Source organism: Homo sapiens, chromosome 18 (genome assembly GCF_000001405.40).
Source record: "Homo sapiens chromosome 18, GRCh38.p14 Primary Assembly".
NCBI classification, from domain to species: Eukaryota; Metazoa; Chordata; class Mammalia; order Primates; family Hominidae; genus Homo; species Homo sapiens.
Genome location: NC_000018.10, coordinates 64143062 through 64162036, shown reverse-complemented (window position 1 = coordinate 64162036; position 18975 = coordinate 64143062). Strand labels below are relative to the sequence as shown.

Sequence of the window (18975 nt, the reverse complement as noted above, 5' to 3'; positions counted from 1 at the left end):
TGAGCTAAAGTGTGTTTCAAGCTAAAGAAGACATATTAAAAATAACCCTTCCCTACAGAAGATACAGCATTGATCATAGGAATCCTCCCATCAAAGAAGCATCTGCCTAAAAAACTTTCAGGTCATGCCTATTTTCTCCAGTAGTGTCTATAATGATATTCAATCTAGCACATTCACAGATTTCTGAGAATCCTTGCTTTCAGTATCCCTGTGATTATGTATAAATTAATTGATGGAATTGCTTTGTTATAAGCTGTCAGTCTTTATCAAATATAGTATGCCTGATCAATATTATATTTCTACTGACAGAATGATGTTAACTTTAGGAAGGTGTATCCTCTACCTCTCCTCCAGGAGTTTTCAAAGTTATTTTGACTGCTTCAAAGTCATTAGATATCTAGTTCAGTGTAACACCATGGCTTAAGACTGATGTGCCTTTCTTCATACTCAGATCTGCAAATGCACCACGCTACAAATGGCAGCGTGGGACAAACATGTTTATATCATACTATTGTATTTTGGTCCAATTGTAAAATAAATATAAATATTGTCGAATATTTATGAAAACAATCCAGCCAATCTCAATGTTTTTATTTAACTCTATAATCTTCAGATGTCAAAATAGAATCTTTGTGCTGTCTATCCCAAATAATTGTTCCAACTTTTTATTCTCTCTGAAAAACCATAGCCAGAAGAACATGGCTCAACTATTAAGTGGAAAGGGAAAGAGGGAAAGAACACAGACATGGTTTGGCATACTTGATGGACTGAGATATGTATTCTTACAGGCCAGTGGTTTATGGACAAAAATACTTTTGAAACAATTTTGGAGTAGGATGGGAAATTTGCATTCTTCTGGCAGCAAGATCTTAGGTAACTTTGGCTGTTCATCCGGAGTTAAGCATGTGAAATACCTTGTAGAGATGCATTAAGTAAAACCTAGAGATTTCATTCAGGTTGTCTATAAATAGGCTGGTCAGAGCTAGCACAAGGTTTCTTTTTCATGAAAAAAGAAACGTACCTTTTTCATGAAACCTCAGCACTTGACTCCGAAAAATGTTAAAAGCTCATCTAATTATATAATACTTGTGCATCTGGTATCACATATATATTTTTATAGTTCCATTTGGAAACAACTGGAATGTGATTTCTCATTCATAAGAAATTCTCTACGGGTGAATTGCAGGCTGTTCCTTAACTGCACACTTCAGAAGGGGCCAACAATACTGCCTACCTAAGGAGTAACTCCAACACTATTCTTCATTATTGATATTGTTAGGCTTTGTGTCCCCACCCAAATCTCATCATGAATTATTATCCCCATAATCCCCACATGTCTAGGGAGAGACCTGATGGGAGGTGATTGAATCATGGGGTGGTTTCCTCGATGCTGTTCCTGTGATAGTGAGTGAGTTCTCATGAGATCTGATGGTTTTATAAGAGGCTCTTGCCACTTCGCTCCTCACTCTTCTCTCTCCTGCCACCATATGAAGAAGGTTCTTGTTTCCCCTTTGCCTTCAGCCATGATTGTAAGTTTCCTGAGGCCTCCTCCAGCCATGTGGAACTGTGAGTCAATTAAAGCTCTTTCCTTTATAAATGACCCAGTCTCAGGTATTTCTTTATAGCAGTGTGCACAGACTAATACAATTATAAAGAAACAAAGCCGTAGTTCTTCAGTTTCTTATATTCTAAACAAAATATATTTTTAAAATTTATCATGTTATGATAAAGCACATGTATTTCCTCACTTTAACTTTTGAAATCAAAACATTAGTGCTATGTAGGAGAAAAGTAACTTGTAAAACTGCAAAATAATGCAAAAATGTTTTGTTACTTGCCTGATTTATATACAATTTAGGCAATTTACCCAAGTGATTAAAATGATTGTTTTTAACTCTAGGGAAATACTGGTATCTTAAATCAAAATATAGAAACTTTATCATTAAATTATCTGTTTCATATCAGGATTGCATTTAATTTAAAATTAGTGATCAACAGTATTCAGATCATCTTTGCAACAAATTTTCTAGCACCTAATCTATATTTGATTTATTCTATTTCTTTTAGTTCTATTTCCTTTCAAAAGCCCATCCAATTCATCTCTTCACAAAATACCTAAAATTAACCACCAAGGGAAGCTCTCTTTCTGTAATATTTTTAATTCCCTCTTCGCTCCTGAAAAACAAACAGTATGGGAGATAAAAACTGAACCAAATCATATAACAAAACTATAAATGCTTGTTTCTTAAAGGTACTACCTCGGCACCTGATTCTCAAAAAATAAAAAATAAATAAATACTTATGCAGCCGTGGTGGGAGTTTCCAGGGTATCTTTTATGCATGAGAAGAAATGTTCAGTGTACTAGGCTCCAAAACAAAAGAAAAATTGAGGATTCATAGGAAAGTATAACCATTTAAAATCTAGGACAGGGAGTGAGAGGAGAGATGGGGGCTGCACGAAAGAGGAGTGAAGATTACACCTGGCAGTCAAAAACGCATTATCCTGAAACAGAGCGCATGAACTCTGTGCTGTAAGTCCTGTGTCCCTCTCTGCCCTGCTGGCACCTACATCTCTGGCATGTGGACACAGTAAGCTACATTTATTACCCAGGAGAGCAAAAGGCAGGGGCCTTGACTCTTCATCCATCAGACCCAGAACAGAGTGCATATTGGGAGATGGGTCAGGTCTCTCACAAATAAGCCAATGAAATCAAGATTTCTGGTGCTACCATAAAAGAAGTATTGGAAGTGAGGCAGGAGATCTTTATTTCTTCTAAAGGCACCATAACGGGAGCTGTAGCAAATCTCTTTCAAGTAATGAGTTCCACGGCCAACAAATGGCTTGTCAAGGCCAGAGATGAACTGTGGCCACTTCAGACCAGAGCCTTAAGTTCTGAGTTTTCAGTTTGGAAGCCATACGCAGGATTGTTCATTCCATCATCTGGAAATGTGAGGAAGTTTTAGGATTGATTACAAGCCAGGTAGAACAGGACAAATATTGAAACACTGAGTGTGAGAACTGAAGGGACCATTAAAGTACTGCTTTACTTTTCAAATTGAACAACTGCATCGAAGCCCAGATGAGTACGGACGTGTTGTGCATCCATTCAGCACCAGAAATGTGGCATAGCCAGTGGGGGTCATCAGAAAGCAGTGAGGTCACTTGAACAGGAGCTGTCAGTAAAGAGAATGGGGTCCTTTTGATCAGTTGTCCAAATATGCGGTAGGAATAATTAGACAATAAATTCCTACAAATGGGGATAAAACTATAACATTACACTGGAAGAGACTGGTATTCACATATATATCTTTTTGACCATATTCATACATAACAGCAGAAACACTATTATTAAGGTCAATCCTCTTGAATATCCAAAGTAGGAGCTGCCTACTACATAGTTCAACTTTAAGGACATTAATAGATACATGTGCCAAAAATATCTGCTCCATCTGGTAGCCAAGTGACTCTAGTGTCAGCATGAGATCCACTCTTTCACATTAACAAATGATCTGAGGAATTTCTCTATTAAAATTCAGTTGTATCATCTCAGAGGAATAGCAGATAATCTGATTAGCACCCAATATCACCTTCACTTGGATTCATTTATAAAGCTAGCAAGCTGTCACCCAGCAGAACCAGGGCACTCAGGGAATGGTTTTTAGACAGATGTTTAAAAACAAAAAAAATGACAAAAACAAAAGCCGTCAGAAAAGTTCCTAGACACAGGGCATGCCACGCAGTGCCTGTGGGGGGTACCGAGTCACTCCCGATCTGAGTCTCAGCTCCCATTTAGCCATCTAGCAGCCACCTAACTCCACATTGACTTACTGAGATTCACTTTTCTGTTAGTTAAAGTCAATAAGTCACAACTCACAGTATTTATGAGAGAATTTAATACAACAAGAAGTAGCGGATCCAAAGTCACAAGAGAATTAGTGGAAATTTCAAGGTACATTAACTAATGTCTATTTGCCTATTGGGTCATAATTTGGTACTAAGAAGAACTCAAAGCAAAAACAAAAGCAAAATGAGCTCTGCTTCCATTTCCTTCTCAATTTCTCCAACGTGGCTCAATGTGGTTTACATTAGAACTTTGCCACTGGAAAACGACCTGTGCTTTATCAAAGATAAATGTAAGAACAGCTGACCACCTCCCACCCTCCCTCTTTCCCAAAACCTGGAGCAAAGAGTTTTCCTTCAATAAATGAAGACAACTTTTTAATGAATATTTAAAATGTGAACTTCAGCTGGAGAAGCCCCTCTTCCCAAAGATTTTCCAAAAGAAAAGCAGTTTCAAAAATATCCAGAATTATAGTCAGTTTTCACTATTTTTTGAATATCCTAAAATGTAGAGCATGTTTCTTTGTAGGTTGATCAGGGAATCTTTGAGAATGGTTTGAGAGGCCCCAGTCTGCCCTCTAGGTATTGACCTTTCCTTCCCCACAATTATTAATAATCCAAAAGTGCAGGAGATGATGGAGACCTTTTGTGTCATTTCACAAAAAAACAATGTGAGAAGCAGAGCACAGGAAAAGCTAACTGACTTGACAGAATATGGAAGAGGAATGCAGGGATATTTGATCACAAAGAAACAGCCCAATTTAACTCTGAAGTCACTTAAAGTATAAGCATTCTGGATTCTCTGGGAATAGGTGTTGTCACTTGTTCTGTATACATGATCAATAGAGTCACTTCAATGAACCAGCTGATAATCAGGTTTCTAGAAGCAGTCTGGTTGTGAGAACAATCATATCAGGTCATGCTTCGTTCATACGTGTTAAGGCATCTTTGCTATTAATCCTAGATAGACAAGGTTTTATTATAGAAACAACATGTACACAGTTTGATAGACATAATTACTCACATGCAAAGTTTTAGCAAAATGAGGTACAGAACAACTTTTTCTAACTCTTGAATAGGAAGATGACTGTGGAGGAAGGTAGATTATTTGTTCTTTAAGAAAATGTGTAGGCATGAATGATTTGCCAATTATTCTACTTCATTGTATTTAAATAGTATTCAGTTCTTTCAAAATGTAATTTTGAATATTTACCGAGACTAAGAATGCTCAGAACTTTGAATTCTAGAATATAGCTAGCCCCATCCCCACCAGATGTTAAGAGCTGACAATTTTAAGTCTCAGTTTATTTTCAATGTTTCCTTACATTTGAGAAACATTTATTAATGTAGTTAATAAAGACAACACCAGGTAGGTGACAATATCTATCTTACTGGCTCAATCTCTCAAACCATATTTTCAGCTGTTTTATTTTAAAAGGGTGTTTGCATTTAGAGAAACTTTTCTGAAAGTTCAATCTAGAATCAACTGGTGTGATTTCAGAACCCAAAGAAGAAAAAGAAAAAGAAAAAAAACCTCTCAGTACAGTGTACAGAAATAGTAATTCCTATTTAAATGACACCTTCTACTTGATAAATTATCTGAACAGAGGTTTGAAAATAAACTTAATCTGTAATCATTCAGAAATATTTAACTCTTCTAAAGAAATGCAGTTATAATTGTAATAGTTTGAGCATTCATTTAAATTCACAATTGGTCCTATTTTCCTTCTTTGCAATTTGACTTGTTTTAAGGGAAAAAATCCATTTTTTAATCTGTCCCTTATGGGAAATGAGATTATTCATTTTAGTTATTTATGAATTCACATTCTGGACCTTTTCTCCATAGAGTAGACAATCTTTCACAAGTAATATTTTCCTATTTTAATCAACTATAACTTCTAACAATGTTCTGAGGAACTGTGTCTGTACCTTGTTTTTTATTCAGCCTTCCACTTTTTGTATTCTGTGCAACCTGGAAAATGGAAATAGGAAAGTCAGAAGAGTTCCACACTCGGACACCTAAAAGGCAGAGCAGAGCAGCAAATCTGAGATGCACCGAAACCAGGATGGAGAGAAGAGGATGAGATAGGCTGGAAGGAAGACAGTCAGGCCTGTTCACAAGATAAATATTGGCGACAAGTGTCCCTAATACTATAGACTAATCTGACTAACACAAATACTTGTCCAACTACCATGTGGGGTGCAGGAGGGAAAAGTACCCATGATGATTTTTACAGATGAATTCATTGCATCCATTTAGAAATAGAAAATCTCGGGCTGGGCACAGTGGCTCATGCCTGTAATCCCAGCACTTTGGGAGGCCAAAGTGGGTGGAACACCTGAGGTCAGGAGTTCAAGACTAGCCTGGCCAACATGGTGAAACCCCATCTCTACTAAAAAAATACAAAAATTAGCCGGGCATGGTGGCGCATGGCTGTAATCCCAGCTGCTCGGGAGGCTTAGGAAGGAGAATCGCTTGAACCTGGGAGGGGGAGGTTGCAGTGAGCTGAGATTGTGTCATTGCACTCCACCCTGGGTGATAAGAGCAAAACTCCATCTCAGGAAAAAAAAAAAAAGATAGAAAACCTAGTATTTTCTTGAGAATGAAAGAAAGATAAAGCAGAATTTCATTCCCTGTTGTTTAAATCTCCTTCTTTCTTTCATGAAAAACACATGGCAAAGCACCTTATACTTCGAGTTATTTTCTTTTTCTCTCCCCTCTTTGTTCAACTGGCATTTAATGAACATTTAGCATGTGCTCAGCACTGAGCCTGATGAATATAAAAACGAATAAGACATAGTCCTGGCTCTTGAGAGGTTTTGCCTGTAAAGAAAGATGGGCATTTCAATAGATGATTTGCATGCACCACGAAGTCCTGGTGTGGACTTACCCAGATATGTGAAAAGTCTTCAAAGAGAGATAATATGTTGTATGGGAAAGCAATGTAGAGAAAGCATTCCAGTAAGATAGAAGAGAAAAATTCTAGACATCCCAAAGATGCAACATGATATGTGCAAAAACACAAGCTGATTGGCACGTCTTAAACAGGGTATTCAAAAATACAGGTAACACATCAACTTTAACCCCCACATAACACCCAACCCCCAGGGATATTGACCAGTACTGTCCATCCTTAATATTACATCGCACATTCAGTCGCTCATTGGACATAGCACATTTCAGTCAAATCCGCCCTCGTCACCACAGATACCCTCCTCTATACTTGGTCTCTTATCCACCATCCTCCAAGAAATAAATATCCTGCACAAGCGCCCTACCCCCCTCACTCCAGTCCCATAACACTTGGGTTGAGAGTCATGAAGATAGAGGGGAAGGAAGGGGGTGAAAATGACTAGAGGGTTTTCTGGAGAGTAGAGGCCAGTGAGGCCAGGGCTGCCTGTTCAGGTAATGTGAACCCACTCTGTCCAACACCAGAGTCTCTATTCTCAACCACTAAACTCTTTTGGATAGATATAATTAGAATACCAAGTGTTAATTTCTGAGGTAGAAGAAACAAAGTTCTTTGTGCTCACTTATGGAAGAAGTATTCGGCACAGCATTGGCTTGTCCGTGGTGAGTTTCTGAAGGAGGTGCCCGCTCTGGTGAGATTTGAAGTATATTTAGAACTAGATAGGTGAGAAGGAAGAGTGGAGAGAAGAGATGCATTCTCTGCTCCAGATTCAAGAGAGAACACTTTTCTAGGAACCAGGAAAGGTCAAAGATCAAGGTAGGGAGAGAGAAGGATTAAGCAGGGATTGGATCATGGACCCCTTGGAAATCATACAAAGGAGTTCAGATTTTATCCTGAAAGCAGTGGTAAGCCAATGAAATAGTTTAAGCTACACAAAAACATCAATAAGTTTGCATTATAGAGAGATTACTCTGGTTAAGTTTTAAGGAATTGGCTGGAGAAAGTATAACTGTGGGCAAGAAAAATAAGGTTATTTCAGCAGTATAGAGGAGAGATGATGGAGACCTAAACTATGTTAGGAACAGTGAGGCTGGAGAGGTGAGCCACTGTCAGAAATACATAAGAGATGTAAAAACAGGATTTAATGAAATGCACATTAGATTTGAAAGAGAAAGAAAATGAAGTTGTAAACTTTTAAATTTATTCAACAAGTATTTAACGAGAATCTGCTACATGCTCTCCAAGCTTCTAGAGCCTAAAAATAAAATGGTGAAGAAGTTAGGCAAAATTCCTGTTATTACGTAGTTTATGTACTAGTGGAAGATGGGCCTGGTGAGAAGCAGATACTAACTGCTTAAACAAATCAGTGAATTAGATTATTTCAGAAGGTAGCCAGGGCTAGGAATAAAATGAGCAGTATAATGATGTAATAAATAGCTGGAAAGGATTGCAAAGCCTCCTTAGGTTGGTAGGTCAGGCATATGTTTCTGAAAACAGGACATTTGAGTGAAGATTTGAATGGTGTGAAAGGGTCATGCAAGTCTCTAGAAAAGAGTGTTCTGGGATCAGCAAAAGCTTATGCCAAGTCCCTGAGGTCAGAAAAAGCATAACCTATTCAAGAGTGAGAACAAAGGTAAATGAGAAGAGTAAACAAGTGGGAAGGGAGAGTGAGTAGGCAGAAGCCAGAGCCATAGATTTTTAGGTCCTGGTAATGAATTTGCATTGTAATCTAATTTTAATGAGCAGCAATTTGAGGATTTTAAGCAATAAAATGATAGAAGTTGATATTTTCTTTTCAAAAAATCTCTTTAGCCTCTCTGTGCATTTTACTGGCGGAATTGGGAATAAGAGTAGAATCAGGAGGTCAAATCAAGGGATCACTACAGTAATCCAGGTAAAAACAAATGACTTAGAGGAGAAGCATGAGACATGATAAGAAGTGGTTTGGTTTAGAATTCAGGCTATGCAACGCTGATATGATGGGCTGATAGAATGAGTATGAGAAGTAAGAACGAGAGGTATCAAGTTGGACTCCTCTGTTTTGAGCCAGAGACATGGGAGGATGGTACCATTAACCAAGATGGGAAGGAGTAATGGCGGAGTAGTATTAAAGAATACCAAAATGGTAAGTATGATTTGCCCACCAAGTAGAGGTGTTAAGCAGAGAGTTATGTATGAAAGAATTCCAGGCTGGAGGTAGGGGTTTTGGAGCTATCAGCACTTAGATAATATTTAGAACCACAGGGACAAGAGGTGATTGCCCAGGGAATTACTGTAGCTAAAGTAAAAAGAAGACTGGGTATGGGTCTGCGTATGTTGACCTGGGCAAGTGGGTGGTTGATAATGCTAACTCTACCACAGGAAATACTTGAACAGAAAGAAAAGTGGGATTGGGGACAAAGCGGGGAGCTCAATTTGGGCCATGTTGTATTTGGAATTCCAGTCATAGGCACAGCTGCATTTCAGCAAAGACATTCGTACTAAAGATAATTCAGATCCATGAGCGTGTAAATGGCAGCTGCACAAAAGCCTGCATGTGCAGTCTGAGAAGGCATTCAGGCCATCAGCTTACACAGATTTACAGGTGGGCTGCAATGAGGACCAATCACTTGAAGGAGAGGGGTGTGGACTAGGGACCAAGAAAGAATGAGAAACTGCTACTAGTTTTATGAGGAGGAAATCAGACTATGCTGTCCTAATTAATGAGACACAATAACATCTTAAAAAGGAACACAGTACAGTGGAATGGAGATTATACTACGGAAAAGAATAAGTAACCAAATTTGGTGACTTCTGCAGTGTGCAGCTGTGGAGAGGACACTCTGTGTAGTGTGTGGAGGAGATTATGTAAGAGTGACTTTGAAGGTATGGAGACCTAAGAGATTTTTACAATATCCAGGAATGAGTCCACGTGGCCCAAGCTAAAACCATGGTAATAGTGTGGAGATGGGAAATGCATCCAAGAAACCCTCAGGAAGTAAAAGCAGCAAGTCCTGTTCATTGCCTGGATGTGGGACAGTGAGAGATTAGCAGTCTGGAAAGATAAGTTGTTATTTTCTTAACATGGAGAACTGGGTAAATGTCAGCACCACTGATTGGGAGCACAGAGGCTATGAGAAGAGCAGGAGGCAAGTAAAGATCCCAGAATAAGGACAAGGAAATATTGACAGCAGTTGTGGACATGTGAGTCTGAGGTTTGCTTATTCAAATATATCAACCTGGTAGCGAGATGAACATGTGAATATATATAGCATAGTAGAGAGTCAGGGTCAGAGACATAATATAGAGAATCATCTGCATATACTGAGTAATTAAATCATGAGGATACTGGAAATGCTTAGAGAGGCTCCTTTTATAGCAGAGAAAGGTTTCGAAAATGTTTTTGTAAAATATAATGAATGAATTAAATTTTTGTACCCAAATAAGTCAGTCTTCTTGTTTCCTGTGGACTTGTAAGAGGCTTAGAAGTCATCACTCTACCCCAACAAGTAAAATGCTGAACAAACCAAACAATTAACAACCTTCTTAGATCTGTCAGAAAAGTGAGGTCACAAGGCAAGCCACAGTCCCCAAAATTTGAGACTGACAAGCAGATATACAGAATCATAGCTTACCAGAGCAGAAACCCATGCATGAAACCACCATAGACACCAAACCCAAATTGTAACTGACAAATTGCTGGAGGCTTGGTGTGGACAAGTCTGAGAGTCAAAAACTCCAGGGGAGCCCAAATATAGAAGCGGTGGGGTGGGGGTGTGGCGGGGGCGGTTCACAGTTTTATAAATTTTACCTCTGGGAGCTCCTCTAGGTCCTTACAATGAAAATCCAAGAAAATCCTACTCATGCTTCTGGCAGGGAGAGGGGAAAGATAATCATTTTAAAATATTCCAGAGCATTCTGTTCTTCTTAACAAGGCCTGCCCGCAAGAGAAACTATTTCACCAGACCTTAAACTATTGAAGTTTTAACCAGACCCTAACTGACCTGGGAAATGGGAAGTACCCAATTCTACCTCCCGCTGTTGGAAAAGGGGAAAAAACAATTCCAGCCCACTCAAGCCACCCTGTCCCATTTAAAGTGGTAGGAGTGGAGGAGGGGGACTGAGAAGCACTTGTGAAGTTCACAGCCCAGGGCACAAGTGGAGATGTAATTATAAGACTATAGAATGTCCCACCCCCAACACACACCCACAGGCACCTTCCCACCACATTGTGAAAGGCTTATTTGGTTCTTTTACCCCATCCATCATGTTGGCTTTCAACACAACAACAAAAAGTCACAAGGTGTACTAAAAAGCAAACAAACAAACAAACAAACAAACCCTGAAGCTGGAAACCATCATTCTCAGCAAACTAACATAGGAACAGAAAACTAAACACCACATGTTCTCACTCATAAGTGGGAGATGAACAATGAGAACACATGGACACAAGGAGGGGAACATCACACACCAGGGCGTGTCGGGGGGTTGGGGGCTAGGGGAGGGATAACATCAGGAGAAATACCTAATGTCGATGACTGGTTGATGGGGGCAGCAAACCACCATAGCATGTGTATACCTATGTAACAAACCTGCACATTCTGCACATGTATCCCAGAACTTAAAGTATAATAATAATAATAATAAACCATCCTAAAGAGACAGTGCAAGCATCAGGACTAGAATCCCATAAGGCAGGGATGTTGGAATTATGAGATTGTGAATTTAAAACAATTAGGATTAATATGCTAGAGATTCTAATGGAAAAGTAGACAACTTGCAGGAACAGATGGGGACAATTAAACAGAGAGATGGAAATTCCAAAAAAAAAAAAAAATCAAGAAGGAATGCTAGAAATCAAAAATGCTGTAAGAGAGAGATGGAAAAGCCTCTTTTTTTTCAAAACCTCTTCAGGATTAATTGAGTTGCATCAGTTGGGGTGGTAGATGAAGGGATCCGTAGCAGGCCTGTTAAGCAAAGTCTGGTCCTTCTGACCAGGACAGAAAGCTCCGCACCGGAGATCCTCCGGTCCCTGCACCACCTGCTGTGTGCCTTCATTAGGCTCTGCTACCTGGAAAACTGATGGGAGGGAGGCATTGAGTACAAGAGCTCTGCTCGGTGAAGCATTTCAGAACTGCTGCTTGCACACTGTCCAGGCATTTTACACCATCAATTGTGCGAGCTCCCACTTATTGCCACTAATTGCTGCAGAGAGAACGATGCTGACCACGGCAGAGCAGCTACTAAACCAAGGAAGGTAAGGCCAGGAGCGCTTAATGGCTTATTGGGACCGTCGGGAAATTCTGTGAAGAGAATCAATTTCCCTGTATCAGCCTGCTAACAGCAAAAGGCACTCAGGTTTTTAATAGTAAATAAAGGCCTCCTGAGGACGAATCGTTAATTCCTAACTGAAACTTGCCCTTTACAGTAAGTTATTTATCATAAGCCACGCTCATCCTCACGCACACACTTCTTGGCTCACAAATGAATTTCCAAAGCTGGACACCCTATAAGGAATGTCCGTGATTTAAAGATATTCTCCATTCTTTGCTTATTGGTAGTAAATGTCCTTATGAGAGTGTTCACAAAACACCCAAGACAAGACTTTGTTCTCTTTTGTTGTTGTTGGTTATTGTTATTCTCTTTTAAGTGGACATTTTTATATGAGTTTTACCACAAAAGGAATTCCTGAAAATAGAAATGAACTTTGTGATCACTGACATTGCTCTGTTTGACTGGAATTTCTGGGAAAGAGAAAAGGGTTATGCATCAAGCTTTATGTTACTTGTTAGTACAACATTTCCATTCATCTAATGGCCCTTGATATTTTGCAGTGAGGGACTCTTTTGAGAATCGGCTGAAAGCCCCAGAATCTCTCCTGAGAAAATGCACAGAGGCACACGCACACATGGTTGCGTGATAAATCACCCTGGCTGCCATCGATGGTTTCCCCAGAAGTTCAATGACTTCAGATAAAGGCTCCCTGCTCTAAGGCGTGAATTGGGTGCTCGCTTTTTCACAAATGGTGTCTTTAGTGGATGGCTCTTTCCATACCATGGTGAGAAATTCATTCCTGCCACTCCCCAAGAGATTATGGAAACATTTTACAAGGCACTCAACTCATGGATTCCTTCCACCAGTGGCCATGAAGGGGAGTATGGTTGATATATTTTGTTAGCTGATGTAGCTATCTGCACTATGTTCCTTTAACTTCTCAGAACATTCCTGCCACTTCAGTTCAACAGCCATCTGAAGCCCACCTGTGAGCTGGTCCAGGAAATGATGGACTCTGATTTCCACACCCCTTTCCTGTGAACTTGTCTCCAATTTAGTCTGTCAAGGTCCCTTTCTTGTGAGTTAATTTCTCCCTAGTGCTACTTCTCAGATTGGCCAGTGACTCACAGAGTGGCACAAGTACAAATCCAGCCTGCCTTGCATCCAACACAGATTCCAGGACCACTGAAACCAGCTGAGGCATCCTGAAAGCCTAAGATTGACCACACCAGAGGAACCAGACTGCCCTTCACAAGGTACTTGTAAAAAAACTCTCTCCCTACTTATAACTTTGAAAAAAAAGAAAGTAAAACACATCAACCAACAGCCACCTTATGGCCACTGTATGTAGAAAACCTCAAGTGTGGCTCTAAGAAAAAGAATAGCCAAGAAAGATAAAGATATTTTTCCTTCCAACTTTTTAGAAAGAGCCTAAATCTGGAGATAACCCCCCATCTTGCTTTCCTTCCCCACTTCTTTGGAGACAGCCTAGAGAAAGGGAACCTTGTTCCACTTTGGAGGCCTCATTAGACATCATTAAATTCCCTTATAAGACAGTGAGTTGCAAGCCTGGCTTGCTTAAGGGTATGTAGGATGATTATATAACAAGCAAAAAAAAAAAAATGCATTTTTCTTATTAGGAGCAAAGCTTACACATCTGAACATAGTTTTACAGTTAGTCCTAGTGAAAAGACATAAAGATATCTGAGATAAGGGAAGTTTGCACCCCAGAGGAAGAAATTTCTTCTGGTCACTATAGGTTCAGATGCTGAGGCTTGAAAGAGAGAGAGAGAGAGACATGAGGTTAGACTTTACACTCCTCTCTCCCCTCTGAACTGAATCTCAGAAGAGAGACTGCAATAAAGACTTCCAGAAACATTTGAGGTTGGGTGGAGATCCTAGATAGGAAGCTTCTTTCTTACTTCCCTGGACACAACCTGGAAGATCCCTTGTCCCTTGAAAGACCTGGAAAACCCATGTCTCCTAGGGGCCCCATGGTCAGCACAGCATCTAAGAACGTACATCCGAGATGGTTCCCTATGATGTTACCAGATGTCCCAGAAAGAATGTGTGCTATTGTGAATGGTGTTCACTGGTCACCAAGTGTAGGGACAAAAGGACTTCATTGTAAAAGGCCAAAACCAGCTGCACCAACCTGGGCAAGATGCAGGCTGAATTCACACAGGAGACTTGGTCCTTGACCAATATGAGAAAACCAATTATGAATTATGACAGCTGTAGTCACTTAAGCAGCTCCCTCCCCCAGACTCCCTCTACCTATCAATCCACGTCATCATATTCTGTAGATTTCCCTTTGCATCCCAGTGCAATGTGGGAGAAAGGGCGAGAACAACTAAAATACTGAGTAATTAACTCAAGCTGACACATTTTAATTCAAGAGAGACTGAGATGGACTTTGTCCATCCTTGGTGGACAAAGCCAGACATTTTCAGCCAGAATAGGGGTGAACAAGATGAAATGAGTTACAAGAAATATAGTTAAGTATTTGTATATCAGTTGTACAAATCAGTAAATTTTGAGTCCAATTTACTCACAATGTTAAAAACAGAAGATAGAGCAGATATAGCATTGTGGAGTTTCTTAGGGAAAGTGTTACATACATGCAAATTTATGTAAATGTATTCAATACTTTAACTCACATAAACTCATTCGATATACTTCATCCACCTTCAACATTACTGTAGAATAGTGCTAGTTTGATGGCTAAAATTCTTATGTTGCCACATAAAAATACCACACCCATTTGCTATAATCTTTATAAGGTATCCAATTAGTTTAAAGATATCTATGAGTTTTCATTTTCTGAAGGGAATGAATAAGGCTGAGATTGTACTACCATGGCAACCACAGAATGTTTAAATATTCCAAAATTTTCATGTGGCATTGGGGAAGGTGTTCAAAATTACTGGACCTCAAGTAAATGCTATGATTCTTTTACACTAAATATACAGCTTTCCATTATGCAATTTGTATGTGTACTTTTTGAAGAAGAAAACGTTGGGAAAGTAGTATGAGAAAATAATTCTGTTAAAAAAAGAAACATTCTGAAAAACATACAAATTGACTTGCTAATATGTGAAGCTGAACTAAAAGCATCCCCTTTAGTTTTCAGCAGGAGATCCACTACTTATTAACAGTGGTTCAATATAATAAACACACACACACACTTAAACCTCCCCTCTTACCCTAGGTCCTAGTCTGCTAGAGAAATTCTCAGCACTTCCATTACTCCAGTCCCCCACAGCATGTGTTAAAACATGTCTCTGCTTAAATACAGCATTCTACTTTCTAGTGTCTGGAAAGATGTAGGCATCTTAATGCTTTCCAATTCTTCTCCATTAGTGGATACTTTAACAGAAACTTAAGAAAGATCAATTAAATCTTTCTTTGCCCACAGAAGCCCCGCTGGTGGGAGCTGGTCAGGTGTTCTGTGATGTATGCTGGTTATGTCTGGCTGTCTCACTTGGGGATGACCGTTGGGGCACCAGGTCGATCAAATCTCTCACATCTCTATTTTTCTGGTTGCCACAACATCCTGGTATTCAACCTAGAAGGAATGCTGGTCACTTAAGCTACTTCTTACAACAACATTCACTGGTCATAAGCTTTCATTGCGTATTTACACACACACATACAAAGTCCAACTACATAAAATACGGTTACAGTTTTAAAAATTCATAATGGGAGCTGTTTCTTGGGATGGTCACACTGTCATCTTTGGACATTCCATTCTCTAAACAAATTAGCTTTCTTTGTAAACAATCTGTGCTATGGTGGACATATTTGTCTAATACTACTATTCTAAAAAAGCTTTCTTAATCCAGGCACCAACCATAACTTATTTCGACCACTAGATAATCTTGAAAACAATTAACTCAGTGCTGAATAAAACTTTGAAATTAACTTAAAATAAAAAGATAATTGTCTTTCAGAGTTTTTTTTAATTACTAAGATAGCCTGTGGTTTGTTCTTTCCATAAAATATTAATATTTCACTTTTTTTCTTCTTTTTGGAATGACTAATAAGTACCCCACATTTTTCTAACAGCTTTGTCTGCAATCTATCTTGTGAGTCCAAAAATTAATGATTTTCGAAAACAAGTGGACCCTACAAAAAGAGAAATATTGTCAATAGGTACTGCTAACCTAACTTTGAGGGTATATCATTATATAGGCATATGATTATGCCTGTATAACAACAAAAACCCAGAGACTTCATTAATTTTCTTCCAATGCTGTAAGTTACCACAAACTTAGTGGCTTAGAGCAACACAGTTTTGATAATGTACAGTTCTGGCCAGATGCGGTGGCTCATGCCTGTAATCCCAGCACTTTGGGAGGCCAAGGCAGGTGGATTACCTGAGGTCAGGAGCTTGAGACCAGCCTGGCCAACATGTTGAAACCCTGTCTCCACTAAAACTACAAAAAAATATTATCTGGGTTATTGTGGGATCTGGCCAGCAGCCCACAATGCAATGGGGCTCTCTCTTTGTTCCCAGGCAGATCGGCAGGTTGAGAAATAATAGACACACACAAGATAGTGAAAGCTGGGTCCAGGGGGGTCACCGCCTTCTGGTCCCATGGTGCCAACAATGCACTGGATATACCAGCATTTATTATTAAGTTTAGTCAGGGCGGGGGTAGGTTAGTGAGGGATTTAGGGTCATTTGATTATGAGGTGAGATGGTCACATGGGGATGAAGTAATTCTTTAACATAACATTTGTATGTAGAAGTACAGTACATTTGTAGGTAGAAGTACAGTATATAGAGATAAGAATTTACAATATAGTGTGTGCATCAGTAATTTCTAACAGAGCCTTAAAACAGAAACGCAGTCTTTCCATAATCTATGATTAGCAAGATATGAATCAGCAGTAACAATTGCAACAAAAGCTGGTTACAAACAATCCATGGAAACAGGACGTGAAGCTAGACAACAGGTTAGACCAGAAATTCTCAGAAGGGAGTATGCCTTAACCCTAAAGAGGCCTAGAAGAGCCGTGGCAAGATGAGGGCGTTTATAGCCCTATCTTATCCATAAGGACAGGCGACCCCCATGTGTCCGTTTATAGGCTCTCCACGAGGGTCACATTCCACTCCCAGAGGTATGAACATCTGCTTTTCTGGGATAGGAATCTTGGTGATGTGAAAACCCCCTGACTACACGTCCATTCATAGGCCCTCTGCAGGGGGAAGCACATCCCGCGCTGCTGGCTCGTTCTGGCAGTCCAACCTGGCATTGTCTTTACACAATCCTGCATGCAATTTTGTATTTACAATAATCAGGAGCATTTCATCTTTTATTCCATAGCAGTAGTTTCAGGGGGTCTCCCTACACTGTGTGTGGTGGCAGGCACCTGTAATCCCAGCTACTCAGGAGGCTGAGGCAGGAGAATCACTTGAACCTTGGAGGCAGAGGTTGCAATGAGCTGAGATCAGACCATTGCACTCCAGCCTGGGCAACAAAAGCAAAATTCCGTCTCAAAAAAAAATTAATCATTAATAATGTACAGTTCTGTAAATTACATGTCTGATACAGGTCTCACTGGGCAAAAAATAAGGTTTCAGTAACACTGCATTCTCTTGTGGAGGTTCCAGGGGAAAGTGCATTTTCCTGCTTTTTCCTTAATTCCATCATCTTAATGCCCCTACTCTCCTTTGTCATATAAAGTAGCATATTCACAGGTTCCAGAGATTAGGATGTGAACATCTTTAAGGGCCATTATTCTGCCTACCTCAGAAAGTAACACAAATAAGGCTATTGGCAACAAAACCTAATTCTATAGAGCATAAATAATTCACCAACTCCAGTCAACTTCCTTTGCAAGAATCTCTTTATGGGACAGAAAAACAATAAGCAAGGTAGATATTAATAGAAGGCCAGTTTCTTCTTTTCCAATCAGTGCTGGCCTCAAGAAGCCAAACAGGGCATAAAAAGAATTTGATAAAGAGGCAAATCTTCCTTCTATAATTAGCAAGCACTGTATGTAATTCACAAAGAGGAGAAATTTGTGGTGTTTCAGGAAACAGAATACTTCTTACCTTTTAAATTCACCTGTATTTGTAAAAATTCTCCAAATTTCTGGCATGTTTGAATTAAGAATTATCTGTGTGTGTGTATATATACATGTATACATATATGTATGTATGTATGTATGTATGTATACATACATAAGAATTATCTCTGTGTATATATGTATACATACATGTACGCATAATATGTGTACATACATGTACGCATAATATGTGTACATACATGTACGCATAATATGTGGACATACATGTACGCATAATATGTGGACATACATGTACGCATAATATGTGGACATACATATGTATACATAATACGTGTACATACATATGTATACATAATACGTGTACATACATATGTGTACATATGTACATATACATATGTGTACATATGTACATATACATATGTGTATATATGTACACATAATATGTGTACATATATATGTACACATAATATGTATATTGATGGTATACATATATATATACACACACACACCATCAATGCTTTTCAGATACTAGGCCATCTACTACTATATAATATGTATATTGTTGGTATACACATATATATATATACACACACACACACCATCAATGCTTTTCAGATACTAGGCCATCTACTACTATATAAGGAAATCAAGACTGCCAGCTAGATATCAACAGGTATTTAGTGTCATCTTGGTGCTTTGTTAATCTTATGTTTACCTCTTACAATCCATCCAGATTTGGCAAGCAAATGGAGGGAATCATAATTAGACAAAATAAGGACAAGTAGATCATTTTTAAATAAAGGACTAAATTATATTATAACCACATAACCCAAGGCCAGATACATTTCTTCAGCTCCAATTTTACTGGTTGGTTTCATAATGCTGACGTCACTGTTTACTCTTACATCTTTAACTCCCACTCTCTTCCCC

General features: G+C 39.1%; 2 long non-coding RNA genes across 7 annotated transcripts in view; one reads left to right on the top strand and one right to left on the bottom strand.

Annotated features, from left to right (window-relative positions):
* LINC01924 (long intergenic non-protein coding RNA 1924) overlaps positions 1-18975 on the bottom strand; it is a 319511-nt gene that overhangs the window by 261565 nt on the left and 38971 nt on the right. The gene's annotated exons all lie outside the window — the stretch shown is intronic.
* Positions 12949-18975, top strand: part of LINC00305 (long intergenic non-protein coding RNA 305) — a 69094-nt gene continuing 63067 nt past the window's right edge. For 3 of the 6 annotated variants that reach the window (NR_190191.1, NR_190190.1, NR_190189.1), the window contains exons 1-2: positions 12949-13084; positions 13180-13262. This is a non-coding gene — a long non-coding RNA (long intergenic non-protein coding RNA 305). Of the gene's footprint in view, positions 13263-18975 lie in introns of all 6 variants that reach the window. The other 3 variants (NR_027245.2, NR_190192.1, NR_190193.1) reach the window with 1 other exon arrangement.